At 43.0% G+C, this 16569-nt stretch overlaps 1 long non-coding RNA gene across 1 annotated transcript in view, besides 2 other annotated features; it reads left to right on the top strand.

Moving 5' to 3' along the window:
- Positions 1-16569, top strand: part of OR2A1-AS1 (OR2A1 antisense RNA 1) — a 117146-nt gene that overhangs the window by 1884 nt on the left and 98693 nt on the right. The window contains exon 2 of the long non-coding RNA NR_126023.1: positions 10537-10648. This is a non-coding gene — a long non-coding RNA (OR2A1 antisense RNA 1). The remainder of the gene's footprint in view (positions 1-10536; positions 10649-16569) is intronic.
- Positions 154-653: an enhancer, noted in NCBI's record as "H3K27ac hESC enhancer chr7:144050275-144050774 (GRCh37/hg19 assembly coordinates)". NCBI's record gives its function as "activates a minimal SCP1, AML or CMV promoter by ChIP-STARR-seq in primed H9 embryonic stem cells {active_cell/tissue: H9 hESC(primed)}" and the evidence as "EXISTENCE:reporter gene assay evidence [ECO:0000049][PMID:30033119]".
- Positions 10265-11189: an enhancer, noted in NCBI's record as "OCT4-NANOG-H3K27ac hESC enhancer chr7:144039739-144040663 (GRCh37/hg19 assembly coordinates)". NCBI's record gives its function as "activates a minimal SCP1, AML or CMV promoter by ChIP-STARR-seq in naive and primed H9 embryonic stem cells {active_cell/tissue: H9 hESC(naive and primed)}" and the evidence as "EXISTENCE:reporter gene assay evidence [ECO:0000049][PMID:30033119]".

The raw sequence follows: 16569 nt of genomic DNA, 5'->3' as shown, positions 1-16569 counted from the left end.
CACTGTGCCCATTGGCTGTTGCCAATGATCCTGGTTGAACGTGTTCACTAGTTATTTTGAGGTGGCTGTAGAATAGAATGTAATTAAGGAAGTATAGCCTCTTCTGTAATAGAGTCCTGAACAGCTTTATGTTAAAAAAGTGTGCTACTTCTGCCATGTTACTCTGAAGGATTAAGTCTTAAACAGTTCAGCAGTTTTCAGCCTACTCTAAGCTGCCATGGAGTGTATGGGAAACTATAGGAAAAATTGGGATTAAGACTCAAAAATCTGGATTAAGAAGGGCAGGCCTTGCATGTGTCCTAGGCTCAGCAAAAGGGTAAGAACTGGGAGTACAGAAAGGCAAAAAGTTCAAACTGGGACTGGCTCTACTTCTAGGCTGGAATACAAAACTCATTCCCAGGTATGAGAGGGTCCTTGATTTATACCGAGTGAGCAAAGTGAGTAAACTTCTGATCTAGGGCAGAAGCTGTTGACCTCTGGGTCGGGTGCGGTGACTCACAACTGTAATCCCAGCACATTGGGAGGCCTTGGCCGGTGGATCACCTGAGTTCAGGAATTTGAGGCCAGCCTGGCCAAACATGGCGAAACCCCTTCTCTACTGAAAATACAAAAATTAGCTGGGCTTGGTGGTGGGCACGTATTCCCAGCTACTTGGGAGGCTGAGGCAGGAGAATTGCTTGAACCCAGGAGGCAGAGGCTGCAGTGAGCTGAGATTGCACCACTGCACTCCAGCCTGGGTGACAGAGTGAGACTCTGTCTAAAAAATACAAAAAAAAAAAAAATTGTTGACCTCTGGCATATTTCATGCTGCCTACTGGGGGTGGGCAATGGGGTCAGAGGTACCAGAACTGCCTCCTGAACCAGCCTGGCTATTCTTTCTGCTTCCCTCCAGCTTCAGTTGGTTCTCCTTGATTACAGCGCTCTCTCTCTCTCTCTCTCTCTCTCTCTCTCTTTTCTCATCAACTCGACCTCCTCTTGTTCTGCCAGCTCTGACTTGTCAGCATATTTTTTTTTGAAGTCACAACCCTGGATTCTTGTGCGCTTGTCCAGAGAGTTAGCACACAAGGCTTTTCCTGACTTTTCAACTAGTAGGAAAGTTACAACCGACCATTTAGGGAGTTTGCTCTTCCCATCAAGACTGTTCCTGTCTGCAGGGTGTATTTGCATGTGGAGGTCACTCTAGCTCTCCCAGGTATTCTTCCTTTCACTTTGCAGACTATGGTTCTCAGCATTTTATTATTTTTTTTCTTTTTCATTTCTTACTGCGTGGTCTTGGTGACTGGGTTTCTTAATCAAGCCTGTCATCCCATCCTGAGATTTTGATATTTTATTTGGGCCTATATTTCCTCTATAAAGGCCTAGAGAGGAGAGAGAATGATGCCATGGAAAGAGAATGAGATTTAGATTCAGACAGGGGTAAATTTGAATCCTGCATTCCATTTACTTAATGTGAAATCTTGGGCATATTCACCTTCCTGTGCTTTCTCTGAATCTTCCTACGTTTCATTTCCCTAATGTCTTAATTGGGGATAATAATATGTAATGATACCTACGTCACTGGATTGTTGTGGTGATTCAATACTGTAATATATAGAAATCACCTTAGTATAAGTACCTGATGTGTAAAGGTGGCCAAGATGGGTTAGTTTCCTTTCCTAGCAGTGCCTGTCAGTGATGCATGTGGAATGAATATGTTTATAAGAACAAAGTGATAGGGGCTGGGAACAGTAAATAGATTCAAAATAAAGCTATTTTAAAATGAAAGCCCTATTAGACGAGGCTGAATAAAAATAGCTTCTAGAACTTGGGACTACTTTAATTGACAATAATGCCTTTAAGATCAAGTTATGGGGCTTGGGGAGAGGCAGGGAACAATCTTGTATAGTTCTAGGTATCAGGACTAAAGGAATGACAATGACCTTTTTTGAAGCAGGAACTCATCAGCATTATCCCTAGGGCTGTCATTGTCCTGACTAGATACTGTCATGGTGCCACCATCCCACATGACTGGCTGCATTGTTCCCACGTGGTGAACTCTCTCTGACTCTCAGCTGGTCCAGTGCTAGTTCTTGGAACACTCCTAAGGCCTTTCTGCCTCTGCTTTTTGCCTGATCCTGTGACCCAACATTGAACCTTTCGAACTGATTTTGAACTCAGTTCTTCTTTTTTTTGAGATGGAGTCTCGCTCTGTCGCCAGGCTGGAGTGCAATGGCGTGATCTCGGCTCATGGCTACCTCTGCCTCCTGGGTTCAAGCGTTTCTCCTGCCTCAGCCTCCTGAGTAGCTGGGATGACAGGCATGTGCTGCCACACCCGGCTAATTTTTGTATGTTTAGTAGAGATGGGGTTTCACCATATTGGTCAGGCTGGTCTCGAACTCCTGACCTCATGATCTGCCTGCCTCGGCCTCCCAAAGTGCTGGGATTATAGGCATGAGCCACCGTTCCTGGCCCCAGTTCTTCTGTTAATGGGGCTGACCGTGGTCTCTCCATTCATCTCTGTTGAAGCCAGGCTGGCTTGACCACTGTGGTTCTTAGCTATCTTCTTCTATTCTGTTTTTTTGTTTTATTTTATTTTATTTTATTTTTCAGAGATGGAGTCTTGCTCTGTCCAGCCCAGGCTGGAGTGCAGTGGCACGATCTAGGCTCACTGCAACCTCTGCCTCCTAGGTTCAAGTGATTCTCTTGCCTCAGCCTCCCCAGTAGCTGGGATTACAGGTGCGCACCACCAAGCCTGGCTAATTTTGTGTTTTTAGTAGAGATGGGGTTTCACTATGTTGGCCAGGCTCATCTCAAACTATTGACCCCAAGTGATTGGGATTACAGGCGTGAGCCACTGCGCCCAGCCTATCCTCTTCTATTCTGATGAGCATGGTTTTATTTTCTATCCTTGGCTTCCCCTTATTTATTTTCTCAACCTTTACACATTGATTGGCATAGGCCTAAATTTAATGCCATTCAAGGCATACATACTAATTGCCTCATTCATTTTTTCTTCTATTCATTTACTCAGTATGCATTCTTAGAAACCAGATATACAAAGACAAGATCTCTGCTTTCAAGAAGCTCTCAATCTGATTGAGGAGAGAAACAGGTAGCAAATAATGGCAGCAGAGCATGGTAAGTGTTATGTTGAGATGGACACAAAGTACAATGGAAGCATAAAGGAGAGAGTAGGTGGCACTCCTTGGGGAATCAGAGAAGCCTGAATGGATAAGGTGGATTATATATATTTTTTTCTTTTTGAGATAGGGTCTCACTGTGTCACCTAGGCTGGAGTGTAGTGGCGCAATCATGGCTCACTGTAGCCTCAAACTCCTGGGTTTAGGTGATCCTCCCACCTCAGCCTCCTGGGGCTGGAACTAGAGATGTGTACCACCATGCACACCTGGCTAATTTTTGGTATATTTTTGTAAAGACAGAGTTTTGTCATGTTACCCAGGCTGGTCTCGAACTCCTTGACTCAAGCAATTCACTCACCTTGGCCTCCCAAAGTGCTGGGATTACAGGTGTGAGCCAACGTGCCCGGCGAAGGTGAGATTTGAGTTGACTTGTCTTTTAAAAATATTCTGTTACTGGCCGGCATGGTGGCTCATGCCTTTAATCCCAGCATTTTGGGAGGCCGAGGCGGGGGATCACGAGGCCAGGAGATTGAGACCATCCTGGCTAACATGGTGAAACCCCGTCTCTACTAAAAATACAAAAAAAATTAGCCGGGCTTGGGAGACTGAGGCAGGAGAATGGCGTGAACCTGGGAGGCAGAGCTTGCAGTGAGCCGAGATCGCACCACTGCACTCCAGCCTGGGCGACAGAGCGAGAATCTGTCTCAAAAAAAAAAAAAAAAAAAAATTCTGTTAACCTGGTATAGAGGAGGATATAGGAAAAGCATACCAATAGCAGAAGTGAAATATGCAAAAATACAAGCCTGAGCACCCTCTGTTCAGGGATGTGCAAATAGTGTGGGTTTAACATGAGATGTGGTGAAGAAATGGCAGAGAATGAAGTTGGAAGGGTAGTCGGGCAGCCAAATCATGAAAGGCCTTGTAGGCCATTCCTGCTACTGAGTTTGGACTTCATCCTTCTGGGGATAGGCCTCCTTGGAAGGGTTTCAAGCAAGGTCATGATGAGATCAGATTCTAAGGTTAGATTTAGAAAAAAAAGCTCTGGGGGCAGTTGAGAGAATGGACTGGTGTGGATAGTGAAGTGGAGGGGCAAGGAAGGCAATCAGCTGTTGTAGCAATTAGATGGATATTGTAGTCATGGAGGTAAGAAAAGAAGACACCTTGAACGAATGCAGGGGCAATGGGAAAATAAGACAGGGAATGGATTTTAGTATTGTGCTGACTGTTTTTTTATTTATTTATTTATTTATTTTTTTTATTTTTTTTTTTTAGACGGAGTCTCACTCTGTCACCCAGGCTGGAGTGCAGTGGCGGGATCTCGGCTCACTGCAAGCTCCGCCTCCCGGGTTCACGCCATTCTCCTGCCTCAGCCTCCCAAGTAGCTGGGACTACAGGCGCCCACCACTACGCCCGGCTAATTTTTTTGTATTTTTAGTAGAGACGGGGTTTCACCGTTTTAGCCGGGATGGTCTCGATCTCCTGACCTCGTGATCCGCCCGCCTCGGCCTCCCAAAGTGCTGGGATTACAGGCGTGAGCCACCGCGCCCGGCCGTGCTGACTGTTTTTTGAAGATAAAATGATCAAGTCAGATTTGAAGAATTGACTGTTGGAGGTGAATAAAATGATGTCCTCTCTGAGTACTTCTCTGTTTGTGAGAGGACTCCTTGAGGAGTTCTGCTCTTGATTTTGCAGGGGCTGCCTCTAGAGCTCTGTGTTTTATTTGCAGAAAGAAGCTCAACTATTAATACTTTGCTGCTTGCTTTGAACTTGCATTTCACAGCCTGGCCCTTTTTTTTCTCAATGTTGCTACTTTGCTTTCAAGATGTAGAGGCCTATTGGCCAGATAGACACATCAAAGAGCCTTGCCTAGGAGTTTAGTCACAGCTGTCATCATTTGTGTCCAGGAGCCATGGGCTTCAGCTTGCCTGGTTTGATCGGCACTACCTGTTTTTCTTTTTTTTAATCAGTAGTGGTAAGAGTGGTAAGATGGGTGGTTCTGGGAAGGGTTACTGAGGAAATGGTCTGTTTTGCTTGTAAAAAGAATGTTTCTATTAACTCAGACATTTAGAAACTCACTTATTCTCAGAGATATTAAGTCATGGGTGTAGGAAAAGGATGGGAGTTTAAGAAGTGAAAGAGACCACCTCGACCTGAATGAATGAATGAATTGTGAATTTTTAATAATTCACAGTTGTGTTCACTTGTGAATTATTAATAATGTATATAACAACTAAGTGTGCGGAGGGTCTCAACGTATAGTTTGTGGATGTGCGGGTGATCCGGCTGTGACATCTGCCACACCATAGATCAAAGTGTAGTTTGTGGTACACCTGCATTGGAGTCTCCAATTCGCTTTGTGAGTCATTCTTTTTTTTTGAGATGGAGTCTTACTCTGTTGCCCAGGCTGGAGTGCAGTGGCATGATCTTGGCTCACTACAACCTCCGCCTCCCAGGTTCAGGCAGTTCTCTGCCTCAGCCTCCTAAGTAGCTGGGGTTGCAGGCGCCCGCCACTACGCCTGGCTAATGTTTTTGTATTTTTAGTAGAGATGGGGTTTCACCATACTGGCCAGGCTGGTCTTGAACTCCTGACCTCGTGAACCACACACCTCAGCCTCCCACGGGTCATTCTTAAGCACAGTAAAGCTTAGGACTCAGGGTGTTCCAGCTTGTATAGAAGGAAGAAGTACAGTGGACTGCAATGCCTGCTTTAAGGATATTAGGGAAACAAGAAAAGAAACTTTTGTGCCAGGCCACTGGGTATAAAGTTTTATGACCCGAGGATGGAAGGAAATTAGAAACAGGGATTGTAAGGCCAACAGGGAGAAAAGCAGAGCAAGTATTCAACAATTTCGTTAGACAGTACATGTAATCAGTTGTAGTTTAACACTGGACATGCATGTGTGATGTAATTTTTGAAGTTATGAAAGTGTAAGCAATCTTTTGTTCCGAGTTTACCCCTGGATGCTGTGGGCAATGAGGGATGAGCCTGGTGCAATGAAGAAGTAAATTGCTGCACAGCATGGTGCCTCAGGCCTGGAGCTCTTCACATCCTTTAGAGCTGGATTAAGAGATGCTGTGTTAGCTCCAGCAAAGGTCACTAGGAGTCTTTGGGTTAAATTTTTTTTTTTTTAATCCACAAATTCTTGTAGTTCACTGAACTTCTTTAAGAGGAGGAAAGCCCAACTTGGGGTCGATAAATGGTATAGTAAATATTTGTTCAAGTTCTAAAATGGACTATCATTTTAAAGAGTTGATTAGCAAAGTTGAAAATACCTGATATTCTCTATGGTTTGTATCTGTGGGAGATGTTTGGTGGAATGGTCAGGAGGAAGAGATGGAAAGAGTGCCATTGCCTTAAAAAAAAAGAACAGCCCTGGCCGGGTGTGGTGGCTCACGCCTGTAATCCCAGCACTTCGGGAGGTCGAGGTGGGCAGATCACCTGAGGTCAGGAGTTCAAGACCAGCCTGGCCAACATGGCGAAACCCTGTCTCTACTAAAAAAAATACAAAAATTAGCCAGGCTCAGTGGCTTGCACCTGTAATCCCAGCTACTCGGGAGACTGAGACAGGAGAATCGCTTGAACCCAGGAGGTGGAGATTGCAATGAGCCGAGATTGCACCACTGCACTCCAGCCTGGGCAACAAAGCAAGACTCCATCTCAAAAAAAAAAAAAAAAAAAAAAAGAATAGCCTCTTACCAGCTCTGCTGGGTTCTAAAAGATGAATAGGTTGCCTACCCTGATGTCAAGGAGCTCACAGTGTAATGGATGTGACAGATGAACAACAGTGTTGAAGTGCAGTGCACTTTATGCTAGAGGTGCCATGGGAGTTTGGAGGAGGAAAAGATTATCTTGTCGGTGAGTTTATAAACCAATGCCAAAGTGATGATGCCTCTGTGTGATGCTTGTAGGTCAGCAGTTACACCATCACTCTTCCTAAGTCTCTAGACTAGAGGCTCATATTTTTCGAATCTCCTGTACAAAGACATTTTTAACTTGAGTGCATATATCATAGAAAAATATGTATACTTCCAAATCTCATTCAGTTGAACATTTCCAAAACGTCTGGTACATAATGTCTGAGAATGCCCAGGTCCTCCTGGAGGCTGGTTATAGCTATGGTGAGGTGTTGCAGTCATGAAGAGGGAGTGGGTCCTTGCCTGCCTGCCCTACAGTGAGCAATCCCTAGAAGCGCTGTTATTCAGGTTGTCTTGCTTTTTGTCTTTTGAAATGTTTGGATTTGGGATGTTTTGGAAATTTCCCCATCCAAAATTTTTGGAAGATAGGGATGGGGATGGGAATGATCCCTGTTCCTTATTTTTTATTTTTATTTTTTTGATACAGGGTCTCGCTTTGTTGCCTAGACTGGAGTGCAGTGGTGCTATCATGGCTTACTGCAGTCTCCACCTCCCAGGCTCAAGCAATCCTCCCACCTCAGCCTCCCGAGTAGCTGGGACTACAGGTGCACACCACCATGCCTGGCTAATTTTTGTATTGTTTTGTAGAGATGGGGGTCCCACTTTGTTGCCCAGGCTGGTCTCAAACTCCTGGGCTCAAATGATCCACCTGCCTCAACCTCCCAAAGTGCTGGCGAGATTACAGGCGTGAGCCACTGCACTCAGCCAATTCCTATTCTTTTGAAATGGAGTCTCGCTCTGTGGCCCAGGCTGGAGTGCAGTGGCATGATCTAGGCTCACTGCAAGCTCCACCTCCCGGGTTCATGCCATTCTCCTGCCTCAGCCTCCTGAGTAGCTGGGACTACAGGCGCCCGCCACCACGCCCGGCTAATTTTTTGTATTTTTAGTAGAGGCAGGGTTTCACCGTGTTGGCCAGGATAGTCTTGATCTCCTGACCTCATGATCCTCCCGCCTCAGCCTCCCAAAGTGCTGGGATTACAGGCGTGAGCCACCGCGCCCAGCCCAATTCCTGTTCTTAAAGAGACTATAACCAGTAAAGTTCATTTAGTGGAGTTCTGGCTCTACTGTATTTGTTACCAGAAAGAGGTTCTGGTCCCAACCCCAAGGGAGTGTTCACGGGCCTTGCACAAGAACGAATTTGGGGCAAGCCCGTAAAGGGAAAGCAAGTTTATTAAGAAAGCAAAGGAATAAAAGAATGGGCTGTTCGACTGAGTATACTTACAGTTATTTCTTCATTATATGCTAAACAATGGGTGGATTACTCATGAGTGTTCCAAGAAAGGTACAGGCAGTTCCCAGAACTGAGGGTTCCTCTCCACTTTAGACCCTATAGGGTCTAAAGTTCAGACACTGCCTGGCATTTTTAAGTTGTCATGGCACTGGTGGGAGTGTCTTTTCGCATGCTAATGAATTATGAGTAGCATATAATGAGCAGTAAGGATGACCAGAGAGGTCACTTTCATCACTGTTTTGGATTTGGTGGGTTTTGGCTGGTGTCTTTACTGTATCCTGTTTTATCAGCAAGGTCCTTGTGACTTGTATCTTGTGCCGACCCCTATCTCATCCTGTGACTAAGAACGCCTAACCTCCTGGGAATGTAGCCCCATAGGTCTCAGCTTTGTTTTATCAAGTCCCTATTTATGATGGAGTCACTGTGGTTTGAACACTTCTGACACAGTGGCTCCCAAACCTGGCAAATCAGCAAAATTTCCTTAAAATCCATCTGTCTATCAATCTATCTATCTATCTATCTATCTATCTATCTATCTATCTATCTATGAGACAGAGTCTTGCTATGTCGCTTAGGCTGGAGTGCAGTGGCGTGATCATAGCTCACTGCAGCCTTGAACTCCTGGGCTCAAGCCATCCTCTCACCTCAGCCTCCCTGGTAGCTGGGACTACAGGTACACACCACCATGTACAGCTAATTTTTAATTTGTTTGTAGAGATGGGGTCTCAGTACTCTCTATTTTCCCAGACTGATTTTGAACCCCTGGCCTCAAGGGATCCTCCTCCCTTGGCTTCCCTGGGTGCAGAGGTTACAGGCATGAGCCACTGGGCCTGACTGTTGTTTGTTTTTAAGATGATTATGATTAGGATGAGAAGCCAGGTTTAGGAATCCTGATAGAAAAGCAGTGGTTCTTTAGCAGAGGCTTCCATCATAATCATCTGATCAGCATTCTGAATTTGCCATTGCCCTAAACCCACGGAGTTTTAATTCTGTAGGTTTGGGGTCAAACAGAACTATTTGAAAATAGCTCCTTGCTGATTTGGATGCCTAATAATAGTGGAAACTCTCTGACCCACAGCAGTGATTTTTAAACATCTTTCATTCTACCTCCTGTCAATAAAAAAATTTTGAGCAGGCATTTCCCCAGTATATGCATGTTTTATTTATTTATGAATTATATATGTGTACTTCTGTATGATATGCAAACACAGATGTTTTAAAATAATGAGGTACAAATAAATGTCATTGAAAGCTCTAATATTTTTATCTCGTTCCCCCAGTGGATACACTGAGGATCCCATTGTGTAGAACATTGAGAGAAAGAACAGGGCCAGTGGTTCCATAATTGACCCCAACTCTTATTTAGCTGCTACTATCACGGGTAGCTGTCTGAAACAGAATCACTGGTTCCCACCCCAACCAAAGCACTCCTACTCCATTCCTTAATTTATGCAGTCATTCAACACATGTATAGGTTTAGCAGACCTAATCCCCAAATCTCAAATCCAAAATGCTCCAAATTGTGAAATATGATACTCAAAGGAAGTGTTCATTGGAACATTTGACATTTGGGATTTTTGGACTTGGGACGCTCAACTGGCTAAGTACCTGCAAATATTCCCAAATCCAAAGAAATCCAAAATCCAAAACACTTCTGGTCCCAAGCATTTCAGATAAGGGATACTCAACCCATATTGTGCAAAGCGTTGAATGAGGGGCTAGGGATATAGTTGTGCACATGGTCTTTGATCTCAAGGACCTAGGTTATGCCTGCATAAACATTAAACAAATGATTACTTAATAATAAATTACTATAATTTTGATGGATGCTAAAAAGTGTGAACTCAAAAGTACCTGAGACAAGTCTCAAAGAAAGTTTAGAAAGTTTATTTTGCCAGAGTTAAGGATATACCCATGACAGGGTTTCAGGAGGTTCCGATGACGTGCCCGAGGTGGTCAGGGTACAGCTTGCTTTTATACATTTTTGGGGAGACATAATACATCAATCAATACATGTAAGATTTACATTGGTTCAATCTGGAAGGGTGGGACAATTTGAGGGCGGGGGTAGGAGGGCTTGCAGGTCATAGGTAGATTTATAAATTTTCTGATTTGTAACTGGTCAAAATAATTATTATCAATAGGAATGTCTGGGATATGTTAAGGGGTTGTGGAGACCAAGGTTTTATCATGTAGATGAAGCTTCCAAGTGGCAGGTTTCAGAGAGAATAGATGGTAAATGTTTCTTTTTTTTTTTTTTTTTTTTGCCAGGTCATTCAACATTTATTCAACCAAAAATACTAAGTCAGCTCTATACAAACTAATGGAAGGATACAGCTATGCAAATATAGAACACTAAAGTGTTACATGACAGATGTATGAGGTAGGTATTATTTTCATGCGCGTCCGTGTGAAGAGACCACCAAACAGGCTTTGTGTGAGCAACATGGCTGTTTATTTCACCTGGGTGCAGGCGGGCTGAGTCCGAAAAGAGAGTCAGTGAAGGGAGATAAGGGTGGGACCGTTTTATAGGATTTGGGTAGGTAAAGGAAAATTACAGTCAAAGGGGGTTTGTTCTCTGGTGGGTAGGAGTGGGGGTCGCAAGGTGCTCAGTGGGCAGGAGTGGGGGTCGCAAGGTGCTCGGTGGGGGTGCTTTTGAGCCAGGATGAGCCAGGAAAAGGACTTTCACAAGGTAATGTCATCAGTTAAGGCAAGGACCGGCCATTTACACTTCTTTTGTGGTGGAATGTCATCAGTTAAGGTGGGGCAGGGCATATTCACTTCTTTTGTGATTCTTCAGTTACTTCAGGCCATCTGGGCCTATACCTGCAAGTCACAGGGGATGTGATGGCTTGGCTTGGGCTCAGAGGCCTGACATTCCTGCCTTCTTATATTAATAAGAAAAATGAAACAAAATAGTGTTGAAGTGTTGGGGTGGCAAAAATTTTTGGGGGGTGATATGGAGAGAGAATGGGCGATGTTTCTCAGGGCTGCTTCAAGCGGGATTAGGGGCGGCGTGGGAACCTAGATTGGGAGAGATTAAGATTTTAGTTTCCTGACTCCGGACGTGTTGAGTAAAGCTAATTTGCCAGTCCTGGGTGGGGGCAAATCCTCGAGCTTGCTGTGTAGGGAAGGAAGGGGGCCTGAATAATCCCTGAGGAATAGTAGAATAGCAGATGGAACACTGAGAAATTATTTCCTTGAGGATAGATTTCCATGATGGAAAGGAAATGAGAGGTTCTGAAAGGCGGGCTAGTGGCTTGTACTATAGCATAGCCTGCCTTTGCTGGTGTGTGGCGATTAGGCCTGGTGGAGCTGCCATCAGTAAATGAAGCGTGATCAGGGTGAGGAACAGGAAAGATATGGTAAATGTTTCTTATCAGGCCTTAGGTCTGTGTTGATGTTAGTGCCGGTCGGCTCTTCCTGAATTCCAAAAAAGAGGAGGGCATAATGAGGCATGTCTGACCCCCACTTCCATCACAGCCTGAAACAGTTTTTCAGCTTAACTTTGGAATGCCTTTGGCCTAGAGGAGGTGTCCTTTCAGATGGTTGGGAGGTCTCAGAATTTTGTCTTTGATTTCTGAAAGTATATATATATAAAACCTGAGAATGACCTCTTCTGGAGGGTTTGAGAAATCTGTAATTTGGAGGCAGGAGTGTCATTGAAGGAAAGCTAGAAAATTTCAGATCTGGAGGACAGAGGTGGAAATCCCATAGCACAAGATGAAACTGAAGATGTGAGCAGAGACCAGGGATCACGTGGGCCTAGTAGACCATGTTAAGGAATTTGATCTTTATTTTGAGGGCAAGGTAATCCATTGAAGGATCTAAGGGAGAGTGACAGGGCCAGATTTTCATCTCAAAAAGATCACTTAAAGGTGCAGCAAGTTGTATCAATTCTTTCCCTTCTTTCTCTTTTTGAGATAGGGTCTCATTCTGTCACCCAGGCTGGAGTGCAGTGATGTGATCATGGCTCACTTCTGCCTCAACCTCCTGGGCTAAAGCCATCCTTCTACCTTGGTCTCCCCAATAGCTGGGACTACAGGCATGCACCACCACACCTGGCTCATTTTTAATTTTTTTTGTAGACATGGGGTCTCACTATGTTGCACAGGCTGCTGTCAAACTCCAGGGCTCAAGTGATCCTCCCACCTCAGCCTCCCAAGGTGCTGGGATTGTAGGTATGAGCCACTGCACCCAGCCTATTCTCTCCTTTCTTATCTTTTGCTTGTATTTAGAAACCTTTGCTTTTACAGTTGCCCTCAGATTACACTCCCCTTTTCCCTACTTTCTATGAACTCTTACAAGTCCTCCAAGATCCATCTCTGTTGTTACCTTCTTGGTGAAGCCTTTTCTTATTCTCTCCTCCAAACATCCACACTCTTTAGAGCTAATGTATTTTATGTATGTATTTTTTAATTTATATGGTATACGTGCTGCTGAAGCGAGCACTAGAGCTAATCTCTATAAAGGCACTTTGTAGGTTTTATTGCAGTGTACCTATTTTGGTAAATTGGGGGAGGACAGTTGCAGAAAATAGAATTCCTTGAAATCTTCATGGCACGGTATCATTTGGTTTCTTTGGTTTGTTCAAGCTCCTGCCTTAGTTTACTTATTCCTTTCTTATTATAACGAATTCTGCACTGTTTGTATGTGTTTTTAATTTACATAAATGCTGTCTTTTATCGACTTTACACTTTTTACTTTTTAAAATTAGGACGAGTTTTAAACATCTACTCATTTTCCTTTGTGTATCTGTAGTCTTTTGCTTCTAACCAGTGCTTTTGTTCCACAGTCTGAATTCATCATATTTTACCTATTCTCACTTTCAGTGGTGGCCACCCAAATCCTTTCACCTTCCCTGTATCACAAACGATGCTGTAATGAGCAGCCTTGTATACATCCTTTACGGACCTGTGTGAGAATTTCTGTGGGATGTGAACATCCAAGATCAGAATTCTGGGGTTGGAAAGCGATGGTGTGCTTATTTAGCCAGATCCTGGCTGTTGCTCCCTCGAATGGCTGCACTGACTGTGTGTTCATCACAGTGCAAGAGTCTTTGTAGCCCCATGTCCCCAACAACACTGGGCATGTTTTGATCAGTTGAGTAGCTTCAAAGCGGTATTACACTGCTGTTTAATTTTCATTTCTCTGGTTACTAGTGGGTTGAGGATCTCAGTAAATTTGTTGTCATGTGATTATTCACATTGCCTATCATGCCTTTGTCTACTTTTCTGTTGAGTTACTCTCATTTTCCTGTTGCCTTGCAAAACTTTCTTGTATCCTTGCAAAACTTTCTTGTTGCCTTGCAAAAGCCTAGGTGGAAGGATGGCTTGAGCCAAGGAGGTTGAGGCTGCTGTGAGCCAGGATCATGTCACTGTACTCCAGCCTGGGTGACAGAATGAGACCCTATCTCAAAAAGAAAAAGAAAAAGAAGAGAAAGAGTAGATACAGTTTGCTGCACCCTTAGGTGATCTTTTTGAGTTGCAAATCTGGCCCTGTCACTTGTATAATCTCAATGTTAGTTATCTGTAAGTTTTAGATATTGAAAACATTGTCTCCTAGTAATCTGAACAGAAATGTGTAACAATTTTGCCACACATTAATTCTTCTATATTATCTTAACAGCTTTATTTTCCATCCTGAGTCTATTTTTTAGTCTAATGATATTGAGTAGATACTTAATTATGTCAGTCTATTATGTCAGTTTTTAAACTCCAATGTTCATCTTTTCTTGATTTATGCTACCAACTTTATTATGTATTACATTCTTATAAGTAGATGAGTCTGTTTCTGACGCTTGCCCTCTGTTCTGTTCTACTTGTCCATTTAAATGTTCTTGCTCGAAATTGTTTCTATGACAGTGGCTTTGTAGTACATCCATGGATTTGGTTGGGACACTCCCTCCCCTACTTCTACTTTTCTCCTCTTTCTCAACGTTTATTTAGTTATTTGTGGACCTTTATTTTTCCATGTAGATTATAGAGGTTTTCAGAGATCCTCAGAAAACCCAACTGAAATCTTACTTGAGGTTAATTTGGGGGAGAATTGAGATTTTATGATAATAAACCACCCTTCCCAAAAGTATAGACTGTCTCCCCAATTATTCTTCTCATCTTATATGTTCTTTAGACTAATTTAAAACTTTTTCTTTATTTTTTTATTAAATAAGGTTATCAATACTTTATAGATTTTTATGCTATTGTGAATTAGATCTTATTTTTGAATTCTGTTTTTCTAGTGAGTTTTCCTTGTCTAGAGAAATGTTCTTGATTTTAATTTATTCGCTATGCTGTGTTTCTCAAGAGCAGAGGCTGCATCTTTCGTCTCTGTATTCCCAGTGTTTAAAACATTGCATGGTAAGTGATCAATGAATGTTTGTTTGTTGAATGAATGAATGAATGAGCAGGATACATAAAGCAGAATGGGCTGCTATGATATTTGGGTCCATATAGAGGCTTCATGGCAACATCCACGACAGTTCCAGTAGACACCCCACCACAAGGACCAAGGGAAGGGGCAGCCAATTCCTTTACATGGCTATCTTCCTCGGTGTGATCAATTAATTCCCCAAAGTGGCTCAATTAGCCTTAGTTGGTACCCTCCCCAGTTTTCCTCAGACCACATAGATGTTTTTGAACATAGCTTTTTGCTATTTACTATGGCTTCTTCTGGACACCCACTCTTAGCTCAAATTTACACATGCATTTTGGAAGCCTTCACTGCCAGAGTGGTGGTCAGACTAAAAAGCTTGACTTGGGTCTCCAAGCCATAGTTATGAAGTACCATAGGATTGGTTGTCTTCCTGGTACTTTCTTCTCCTCAGAAATGAAGCAAGCACTTAGACCTCTTAACTGCTGATGAGCTGAGCTTGGATCCCTAAAAGCGGAAAAGAGAATTTGAATACCAAGACCCAGCTACCCTTAGGACTGGAGCAAGATTGGACACAGGTATAGGTGCTCTTGGTAATGTTAGACAAAGGCAAAGGCAACACACAAGGAAAGTTAGGCTTTTAAAATGACAGTTCATTTATTTTACAAAAATTGTACTGAGTGCAATATAAAGGCCTTTCACAGTCTGACTCCTGCCTTCATTCCCAGGCTTCCCCTTGGTCACTATCTTTTTCTGTCTCTACCATACATGCTTTGTGCTCAAGCCATACCTGATTGTTTGTCAAACCATTATATGCCAGTTCTTTTTTTATTCCTGGATCTTGCTAGACAGTATTCTCTGTGTCTAAAATGCTCTTCCTACCTTTCTCTGTCTATTTATCAAACCTCTATTAATTCTTTTCAATGATGAATTCATGTTACCTTATCTCTGAAACTTTTCCTGACTTCTCCAAGTAGAATGGTTATCTTTCATTCTGTGGCACCTTAACGTATTCAGTATAGCCTTCTGTTAGTACATTTTTAATGCTGTGATATTGTAACTAATTTATTTTTATTTTCTTGTCTGCTTATTTTCCATTGCAAGCTTCTTAAGATTTGGGACCATACATTCTCTATCTTTGTGACTGAAAGCTGAGCATAGCTTCTAGTATGCAGTAGGTGATCAGTTAGCAAATAATTGATTAAGTTGAACAAATAATTGAGTAAGTTCACCATGAAGAGAATGAGATTTTGATCCTATACTGGTCATGTGGTTCTAGAAAAGCAACTAATCTTTCTATTCATCTGTAAAATAAATTTATATATGTATTTGCTGAATTGTGAAGATGTTATATTAGTCATCTTGGGTTGCTGTAACCAAATCCCATAGGCTGGTTGGCTCAAACAACAGACGCTTATTTCTCACAGTTCTGGAGGCTAGTAAGTCCAAGATCAAGATGCCAATAGATTTGACTCATGATGGGGGCTCTCTTCCTGGCTTGCAGATGGCTGCCTTCTCATATTCTGCAGAGAGAAAGGTCTGGTGTCTCTTCCTCTAGTTATAAGGGCACTAATCCCATCAAGGGGGATCTACCCTCCTGACCTCATCTAAGCACAATTATTTTCCAAATGCCCCACCTCCCAATACCATTGCATTGAGGTTAGAGCTTCCTATGTGAATGGGAGGGTGGAGGAAAGAACACAAACATTCAGTTTATTACATATCTTATAAAATATTATGAATCTGGTTAAAGTATTTTCAAAGAAATGTTTTAACTATGGAGACCAGATGAGTGAACAATGAACCTTGCCATAAATATGACAGCAGAGAAAAAATGACTATCCTTGATATGGTTTGGCTATGTCCCCACCCAAATCTCAACTTGAATTGTGTCTCCCAGAATTCCCACATGTTATGGGAGGGACCCACGGG

This window comes from Homo sapiens, chromosome 7 (genome assembly GCF_000001405.40).
Source record: "Homo sapiens chromosome 7, GRCh38.p14 Primary Assembly".
In the NCBI taxonomy this organism is placed as follows: Eukaryota; Metazoa; Chordata; class Mammalia; order Primates; family Hominidae; genus Homo; species Homo sapiens.
The sequence above is the reverse complement of the archived record's forward strand: the minus strand, read 5'-3'. Positions and strand labels throughout refer to the sequence as shown.